Source organism: Homo sapiens, chromosome 9, assembly GCF_000001405.40.
Source record: "Homo sapiens chromosome 9, GRCh38.p14 Primary Assembly".
In the NCBI taxonomy this organism is placed as follows: Eukaryota; Metazoa; Chordata; class Mammalia; order Primates; family Hominidae; genus Homo; species Homo sapiens.
In genome coordinates, this window is record NC_000009.12 from 100,627,295 (window position 1) to 100,637,684 (window position 10,390).

General features: G+C 38.4%; 1 annotated feature.

Annotated features, from left to right (window-relative positions):
• Positions 5,902 to 6,153: a silencer, noted in NCBI's record as "fragment chr9:103395478-103395729 (GRCh37/hg19 assembly coordinates)". NCBI's record gives its function as "represses an EF-1alpha promoter that drives an FKBP-Casp9 reporter gene in an ReSE screen in K562 erythroleukemia cells {active_cell/tissue: K562}" and the evidence as "EXISTENCE:reporter gene assay evidence [ECO:0000049][PMID:32094911]".

Genomic DNA, 10,390 nt, shown 5'->3' on the forward strand with positions numbered 1-10,390 from the left:
TTCACCTGATATACTGACATACTTTACCCTTCCCATCATTCTGTATTCTGTCCTGTATCTCAAAGCTGCTTTCTGGGATTATTTTCCTTTCCCTTTTTATATGTCCACTAGTGTATTTGTGCTGATTACAAATTTTTGTAGTTTTTGCATTAAGTGTATTTTACCTTAAATTTCAAATGGATTTTTGGTGGTTATAGAATTCTGTATTCAGAATTATTTTCTTTTAGCAAATTGAAGACACTATTTTATCGTCTTCTCCTCCCTGCCTCTCCTGCCTTCCTCCACCACTGTTGGGAAATCAGTTGACGGTTTTATTTATTTATTTGTTTATTTATTTATTTATTTATTTATTTATTTCTGGAGACAGAGTCTCGCTCTGTCCCCCAGGCTGGAGTACAGTGGCCCAATCTCGTCTCACTGCAAGCTCCGCCTCCCGGGTTCATGCCATTCTCCTGCCTGAGCCCCCGAGTAGCTGGGACTACAGGCATCTGCCACTACACTCAGCTAATTTTTTGTATTTTTAGTCGAGACAGGGTTTCACCGTGTTAGCCAGGATGGTCTCGATCTCCTGACCTCGTGATCCGCCCGCCTCAGCCTCCGAAAGTGCTGGGATTACAGGCGTGAGCCCCCGCGCCCGGCCGATGGTTTTATGGTTTTACTTGTAATGTATTGCTTTTCTTCTGGCTGATTTTAAGGTTTTCCTTTTGTCTTTGTTTTTCAGCAGTTTGACCATGATGTGCTCAGTACCATTTTCTTTATATTTATTCATCTTGGAGTTTGTAGCACTTGGTGGTTTTATCATTTTTTTGGGAAAATTTTTGCCATTATGTCTTCAAATTTTGCTTCTGCTTTACTCTCCCCTCTTCTTCTTAGACCATTTCATCATATCTCCTGTGTTTTTTATGTTCTTTGCTGTATTTTTTCATTATTTTGATTTTCCATGCTTCAGCCTGTATATTTTCTTCTGATGTTCTACTTCACTAATTATTCCTTTAGTTGTATGCAATCTGTTAAATCTATCTATTGTACTGTCAATTTACAATGTTTATTTTTCACTTCTAGACTTTCTAGAATTTTCATTTATTTTCTGCTTTCCAGTTCTCTGCTGAAATTCTCTATCCTCTCATTTAATTGATTGAACATAATAATAGTTTGTCTGTCTTCGATATTTCAATATTTAAATCTCTTGTGAGTTTGTTTCTATTGTGTTTTTTCTTGATTTTTACATAAATCTTATCTTTTTACCTGCTCTTCCCCCCAACCTTTTTCTGATTGAGTGCCAGATATTTTTATAAAGAATTTTAGAGAAAAATTGAGGTTCTGGGTATTGTTTTCTTTCTCCAGGGAAGATTTCCTTTAGCTCTTTCTAGAGCTTGTCTAGACAGGTCAGCTTAATTCTTTCAGAATTGAGAGGACTCAAATCTGGGCTTCCGTCCTTGGGTAGGTTAGTTTGTTTCTAGTTCACCCTTATTCTTTGGGGGCAACCTTTAAGAACCTTACTGAAAGTGTAGGGTATTTGCCGGAGACCCTTCTCTTTGGGAAGCCTTGAACTCAAATGTTCTCTGAGTCCCGTGAAAATGAAGAAAATTGTGCTCACTTTCTTGTCTCCCATTTGTTATTTTCATTTTCAGAATTGGCAATTTGCCTTGAGGGGAAATGTGCTGTAAATTCTGGAATTACCTCTCTTGGTTTCCCTTATCTCCTAGACCTTGGCCCCACAACTTCTCACTGTCTTCGTAGTTGTTTGAGGCCAACATATATTTCAAGTATATATTTTAAAACAGCTTATAGTTGTTCTCCACAGGAGGGTTATTCTAAAAGTATGCATCATCCATTGCTAGAAGCAGAACTCCATTTTTTTTGCTAGTCGTAGAAATACGCATAAACAAACGGCTCAAGGAATTTAGAATTTTTGTAGTACCATGGAAGCTTTTGTTTTCATTTTTACTCCCTTATGAGATATGTTTTCTGAAAAGTGCATGAATTATGCTGAAATGTTTATTAAAATGAAAATATATAGGACATTAACATCTGTATGTAAATTAGGATGCTAGTAGCAGCATTGATTTGTAATTGTTTTAAAATATTATTATAATAATAAAAAAGATATTAATATATAAACCAAAGCATCACCTATAATCTCCTTATGTAAACTTACCTTTTTTATTTTCTGGTCTGTGCCTTTATTTTATATACAGCTATAACAGTGTGCATGTGAAGTGTGTGTTCATAGCATTGAATTTTAATGATGTACTTTGAGAAAAAATAGGCTTCCTGTATTTTTTTTCTATTACCATGTTTATAATTCTGGTCAAGTATCTTATCATTCTTTACCTAGAATTAAAAAGATTGGGGTTTATAGATTTTGGTTCTATCCTAAAGGTATATAGTTAAAATGTCAGATAAATGGTTAAGATATTAACATCACTAAATGTATATGGCATCTTTCTACAGATGTTTCTCTTTCAAATTACAAAAGACATAAGGTGCATTTTGCTTCAGAATATTACATTTGGTTTTGCCTGCCTTTAAAAGCTTTATTTCAGCTTGTATGGATTATTTTCTGCTCTTCTTTGTTTGAAATCCATTTATCAATCTTCAGATGTAGTTTTCTTCCCAGAACAATGCCTTTGTGTCATTAATGGTGTTGGTATTGATCCTGAATGATACTAGACTGATGACTTGGAATCCTTTGATGATATCTCTGATAAACTTTTAGAAAAGACAAATTATTAGATTCACGTTAACATCACTATACTTACAGGTATCTTAATCAAATTCTTGACAATAAAAGGGGAAGCCAAATTTTAATTGAATATTGCCCTTAAAAATGGAAGAATCCCAAGATTTTTGGTAGCTAGGTAATATTAAGTAGGTGAAAATAGGAAAAAAAATGTGTCTGTTCTTGGAAATAAAGAGTTTCAGGCCTTAGTAAACTAGAAGAGAGTCTTCTCTGAAAACATTGCTAATAATTCTTGTTACATTTAAAATATCAGTATTATGAAAAAACACAGGGATTAATCTAGGTCACATATCCACTCCTTTGAAAATGTGGCGACTCTAAGTTATGCGGTGAATTTTATTTTTATGAAAGGCTCTGGTAAAGAACTTATATGGAGCTCCAGCTCTGGAAACTTCACTAGAGGTCCTAGAACCCTAGCCACTCGTTTTCTCTTTAGATTCCTTACGTTAAAATCTGTCATTTTAATCTATTGAGTAGTGAATACATTCACAGGCAAAGGGGCTGGGAGAGAAAAGAATAAAACTTCAAAAGATATAAAAGGAACTATAGGGAGAAATCTTTTTGCCATGGATCCCCCAGCCGCCCAATTCTCTTCCATGGAGACAATCTGTATTGACTGCTTCTAGCATATCTTTCTAGGAGTATTTTAAATATTTACAAGTAAATACATTTAAGTATATATTTCTCCCTTCTGTACACAAACTCTATCTGTTCTACATTTAGTTTTCTCATAACGTATCTTGCAGATCATTTCATATAAATATGCGAAGAGCCTCCTCCCCACCTTTTCCCTCTCTTTTTTTAAGATAGTTTGAGTCTTACTTTTTAGAGATACATGCGTATAATAATCTACTAAATGGTAGTGCATTTTTTTTCTTTCTGCAAACATATATTGAGTCTTCTCTGTACCAAGAACTGTGCTCTACCAAAAGTACAATTACTAGGGGACCTCATGGAGTTTTTTTTTTTTTTTTTTTTTTTTGAGAGAGAGTCTTGCTCTGTCGTCCAGGCTGGAGTGCAGTGGCACGATCTTGGCTCACTGCAACCTCCGCCTCCTGGGTTCAAGCGATTCTCCTGCCTCAGCCTCCTTAGTAGCTGATACTACAGGCGTGCACTACCATGCCCAATTTTTGTATTTTTAGTAGTGACGGGGGTTTCACTGTGTTGGTTAGGCTGGTCTCAAACACCTGACCTTGTGATCCACCCGCCTTGGCCTCCCAGAGTGCTAGGATTATAGGCGTGAATGACCGCGCCCAGCCAAGGGAGTCTTACCAGTTTGTAGTTTATATGTATTTGTTACTTTGGTGAACTCCTGTTTTCTCATAGTGATGAACAGCAACACCCTAAAAAAATGCACCTTGTACATACTTTGAGATATCACATTGAAGGGAAGGGTGAGGACCAGGGAGACAGGGAAAGGTTCCAGGAGAAACAGTCCAGGTGATAGTAACTCTAAAATAGAAAGGAAAACAGTAAAAGCTCTGATGTCGGGCAAAATGGGCTCACAGAGGCAAAGAGGGCAGATGGAAGCAGAGTGCTGTTAAGGCTGGGGGTCTGGGTGGTTTCCCAATGACTTCACCTTCTCATTCCTCATCCTTCAGAAGAGCCATACTGGTGGAAAGAGAACTTGCTGTGTTTTTCAGTGTAAATAGGAAACATATATCTGTTCAGGGTGCTATTTAAAAAACAACTACATCAAATTACAGAGAATGAAATGGTACTGTCATTTGAGTAAATTACCTATTTAATGTCAGTCATGACCTAATAATATGTTTTCTTTATATATAAAGGCAATGTCATTCCTCTGCTATCAGTAGGGCTATTTCCTCCCTCTGTCTTGCTTCATCTCCTTGTCTTGCTGAGGGGAGGGGTCAGGTGGAAGCCATGAAACACAATGACCCTGAATAGCTTTCACAACAATTGACACTTGGCCATGGCTACCTTAACGTCTTGTCTGGTGTTCTGAGAGTAATCAGCCTCAGGCAATAATCTGATAGTTTGATAATTACATCACATTTTTTCCATAATACTCAAGAGCATTATTAAAGAATGTGTACAGTTTTTTCTCTTAATTGTTCTGGGTAGAACTTTTATAGATGGTAAACTGTTGCAAGAACAGTTAAAATGGGATTTTCAAGGTTGTATAACATATTCTATTTAGATATAAGAATTTTACAACATCCCATTTAGTCTGCATTTTTGCAAAGACCTTTTATTTACAAGAAGTTGCATTTGCTAGCAAGTGTTCAGAAATATCCTTGATTTTTTTTTTTTTTTGGCACTGATCATCTATTTACTTAACAACTTAAAAGTACCATTCAGAAGCTCATACCCTCAACCCTTTCACCTTAGCTTCTCATGCTTTCAACACAGCATGTCTTCCTCTGAACTTGTCTTTTGTTTTCATTTTTTGTTGTTGTTGTTGTTCAGAGACAGAGTTTCACTCTGTCTCCCTCAACTCCCTACATCTGAACTCCTAAAGCTCAGGACTGTTCCAGCTCCTGAGCCTGTTCAGATGGGGCCACGGGAAGAAGCAGCCTGAGACTCCCTATTTTGTGAACCTTGGAATAAAAACTTGCTTCAGTCCAGACCTTGGATGTGTCTTCCTTGAGGCCAGTTTCTGCAGCAGGTTCCTTACCCCCAGCCCTTATTTTATGTCCAAGTGAATAAGGAACTCTGGATCTCAGTCTGGTTCCTCTCCTTATTGGCTTTATGTTGTTACCTCTGCTTCATGCCTGAGCCTGTGTGCTTTGAAATTTGTGTGTGACTATGATAAGGATAAGAGTGAGTTCTGGAATCAGATGAGATAATTTTTAATTCTGGCTCTATAGTTTACCAGCAGAGTGGCCTCAGAAAGGTTATCAACCTCTCTATAAGCCTCAGCTTTTCTCGTCTATAAAATGTGGATAATAACAGCATCTCCCTTATAGGATTGTTGAAGGATTAAGTGAAGTAATGTATGTCAAATTCTTGGCACCCAATGGTTGCTTAATAAGTGTTAGCTATTATTATTATGACTTAGATGTTGACTGTTTGATGTAACCAATACAGGTAGATAGAACTCTAAGGTTCCTTATAGGTGAAGACTATGATAGGTCCATTGGCATATTAATTAATATTTGTTAAATGAGTAAATGATGGAGATGCCCTTTTTATACAGTTAACTTTCAAATAAGAAGTTTTAAAAAGGTCCAGAGTGGTTTGTTCTTTCAAAAAATATATATAATTCTTTTTTAAAGAGATGGAGTCTCACTGCATCACCCAGGCTGGAGTGCAGTGGCATGATCATAGCTCGCTGCAACCTACAACTCCTGGTCTCGAGCAATCCTCCTGCCTCATCCTTCTGAGTAGCTGGGACTATAGTCACATGCCACTATGCCTGGCTAATTTTTTTATTTTTTATTTTGTAGAGATGGAGTCTTGCTTTGTTGCCCAGGCTGGTCTCAAACTCCTGGCCTCAAGTGATCCTTCTACTTTGGCTTCCCAAAGTACTGGGACTACAAGTGTGAGCCGCTGTGTTTAGCTTCTGGAAATATTTTTGAATGCTTTCTGCATATAAGATCTTGTCACTGATACAATAAAGTACAATTTTCTACACCACTTTTTTTTTTTAAAGCATCTTAACATACTTTTAAATTTTGTACTCAAATACAAGGGGTAGTAGAAAATTACTATAGTATGGTAATACCTTGTTTTTATTCTAGATTTTTCAGGTGTAAGTTAGTCTATGTGTCCCCATCTCTAAAGGCCAAATAGCAAGCTTTCCAAGTGGTCTTCTTAAAGCCTGTCTATTTTGATTTGTGGGGATGGGGAAGACATCCTCTAGTTTACCGTCTTGGGAGAGGAGTTAGGCCTCTTGTTATATTCCAACAGCTTTCTCCCAAATCTCCTAATCTGTGACTTCTAACCCTTTCATATCCTGATGTAGCTGAGGGAGTAGGAAACATGCACAGTTGTCTCTCTCTCTCTCTCTTTTTCTCTTTCTCTCTTACTCTCCTTCCTCCCTTCCCTTCCCTTCCCTTGCCTTCCCTTCCCTTGCCTTCCCTTCCCCTTTCCCTTCCTCCTCCCCTTCCCTTCCCTTCCCTTCTTTCTTTGTCTCACTCTGTTGCCCAGGCTGGAGTGCAGTGATGCGATCTTGTCTCAGGTGGCACTGCAACCTCCGCCTCCTGGGTCCAAGCAATTCTGTCTCGGCCTCCCTAATACCAGTGGTTACAGGTGCATGCCACCATGCCTGGCTAATTTTGTATTTTTAGTACAGATGGGGTTTCACCATGTTTGCCAGGCTGGTCTTGAACTATTGGCTTCAAATTCTCTTTTTTTGTTGTGTCTCTGCCAGGCTTTGGTATCAGGCTGATGCTGGCCTCATAAAATGAGTTAGGGAGGATTCCCTCTTTTTCTATTGATTGGAATAGTTTCAGAAGGAATGGTACCAGCTCCTCTTTGTACCTCTGGTAGAATTCGGCTGTGAATCTGTCTGGTCCTGGACCTTTTTTTTTGGTTGGTAGGCTATTAATTATTGTCTCAATTTCAGAATCTGTTATTGGTCTATTCAGAGATTCAACTTCTTCCTGGTTTAGTCTTGGGAGGGTGTATGTGTCGAGGAATTTATCCATTTCTTCTAGATTTTCTAGTTTATTTGCATAGCAGTGTTTATAGCATTCTCTGATGGTAGTTTGTATTTCTGTGGGATCGGTGGTGATATCCCCTTTATCATTTTTTATTGCATCTATTTGATTCTTCTCTTTTCTTCTTTATTAGTCTTGCTAGCGGTCTATCAATTTTGTTCATCTTTTCAAAAAACCAGCTCCTGGATTCATTGATTTTTTTGAAGGGTTTTTGTGTTTCTGTCTCCTTCAGTTCTCCTCTGATCTTAGTCATTTCTTGTCTTCTGCTAGCTTTTGAATTTGTTTGCTCTTGCTTTGCTAGTTCTTTTAACTGTGATGTTAGGGTGTCGATTTTAGATCTTTCCTGCTTTCTCTTGTGGGCATTAAGTGCTATAAATTTCCCTCTACATACTGCTTTAAATGTGTCCCAGAGATTCTGGTAGGCTGTCTTTGTTCTCATTGGTTTCAAAGACATCTTTATTTCTGCCTTCATTTTGTGATTTACCCAGTAGTCATTCAGGAGCAGGTTGTTCAGTTTCCAGATAGTTGTGCGGTTTTGAGTGAGTTTCTTAATCCTGAGTTCTAATTTTATTGCCCTGTGGTCTGAGAGACAGTTTGTTGTGATTTCTGTTCTTTTACATTTGCTGAGGAGTGTTTTACTTCCAATTATGTGGTCAGTTTTGGAATAAGTGCGATGTGGTGCTGAGAAGAATGTATATTCTGTTAATTTGGGGTGGAGAGTTCTACAGATGTCTATTAGGTTGGCTTGGTCCAGAGCTGAGTTCAAGTCTTGGATATCCTTGTTAATTTTCTGTCTTGTTGATCTAATACTGACAGTGGGGTGTTAAAGTCTCCCATTATTATTGTGTGGGAGTCTAAGTCTCTTTGTAGGTCTCTAAGAACTTGCTTTATGAATCTGGGTGCTCCTGTATTGGGTGCATGTATATTTAGAATAGTTAGCTCTTCTTGTTGCACTGATCCCTTTACCATTTGTAATGCCCTTCTTTGTCTCTTTTGATCTTTGTTGGTTTAAAGTCTGTTTTATCAGTGACCAGGTTTGCAACCCCTGCTTTTTTTTGCTTTTCATTTTTGGTAGGTCTTCCTCCATCCCTTTATTTTGAGCCTATGTGTGTCTTCGCATGTGAGATGGGTCTCCTAAATACAGCACACCCATGGGTCTTGACTCTGTCTAATTTGCCAGTCTGTGTCTTTTAATTGGGGCATTTAACCCATTTACATTTAAGGTTAATATTGTTATGTGTGAATTTGATCCTGTCATTATGATGCTAGCTGGTTATTTCACCCATTAATTGATGCAGGTTCTTCATAGTGTCAATGGTCTTTACAATTTGCATATTTTTGCAGTGGCTGGTACTGGTTGTTCCTTTCCATGTTTAGTGCTTCCTTCAGGAGCTCTTGTAAGGCAGGCCTGGTGGTGACAAAATCTCTCAGCATTTGCTTGTCTGTAAACGATTTTATTCCTCCTTCACTTATGAAGCTTAGTGTGACTGGATATGAAATTCTGCGTTGAAAATTCTTTTCCTTAAGAACATTGACTGTTTTTTTTTTATTTTATTAGTATTATACTTTAAGTTTTAGGGTACATGTGCACAATGTGCAGGTTAGTTACATATGTATACATGTGGCATGCTGGTGTGCTGCACCCATTAACTCGTCATTTAGCATTAGGTATATCTCCTAATGCTATCCCTCCCCTCTCCCCCCACCCCACAACAGTCCCCAGAGTGTGATATTCCCCTTCCTGTGTCCATGTGTTCTCATTGTTCAATTGCCACCTACGAGTGAGAACATGTGGTGTTTGGTTTTTTGTCCTTGAGATTGTTTACTGAGAATGATGATTTCCAGTTTCATCCATGTCCCTACAAAGGACATGAACTCATCATTTTTTATGGCTGCATAGTATTCCATGGTGTATATGTGCCTGTTGGCCCCCACTGTCTTCTGGCTTGTAGGGTTTCTGCCAAGAGATCTGTTATTAGTCTGATGGGCTTCCCTTTGTGGGTAGCCCAACCTTTCTCTCTGGCTGTCCTTAACATTTTTTCCTTCATTTCAACCTTGGTGAATCTGACAATTATGTGTCTTGGGGTTGCTCTTCTTGAGGAGTATCTTTGTGGTGTTCTCTGTATTTCCTGAATTTGAATGTTGGCCTGCCTTGCTAGGTTGGGGAAGTTCTCCTGGATAATATCCTGAAAAGTATTTTCTAACTTGGTTCCATTCTCCTCATCACTTTCAGGTACACCAATCAAATGTAGATTTGGTCTTTTCACATAGTCCCATATTTCTTGGAGGCTTTGTTCATTTATTTTCACTCTTTTTTCTCTAATCTTGCCTTTTCACTTTATTTCATTAATTTGATCTTCAATCACTGACATCCTTTCTTCCGCTTGATCGAATCAGCTATTGAAGCTTGTATATGCTTCACAAAGTTCTCGTACTATGGTTTTTAGCTCCATAAGGTCGTTTAAGCTTTTCTCTACATGGGTTATTCTAGTTAGCCATTCATCTAACCTTTTTTCAAGGTTTTTAGCTTCCATGCGATGGGTTAGAACACACTCCTTTAGTTTGGAGAAGTTTGTTATTACTGACCTTCTGAAGCCTACTTCTGTCAACTTGTCAAACTCATTCCTCATCCAGTTTTGTTCCCTTGCTGACAAGGAGCTGTGTTTGTTTGGAGGAGAAGAGGCGTTCTGGTTTTTGGAATTTTCAGCCTTTCTACTCTAGTTTCTCCCCATCTTTGTGGTTTTGTCTACCTTTGGTCTTTGATGTTGGTGACCTATGGATGGGGTTTTGGTGTGGATGTCCTTTTTGTTGATGTTGATACTATTCCTTTCTGTTTGTTAGTCTTCCTTTTAACAGACAGGCCCCTCAGCTGCAGGTCTGTTGGAGTTTGCTGGAGGTCCACTCCAGACCCTGTTTTCCTGGGTATCACCAGAGGAGGCTGCAGAACAGCAAATATTGCTGCCTGATCCTTCCTCTGGAAGCTTTGTTCCAGAGGGGTACCCACCTGTACGAGATGTCTGTT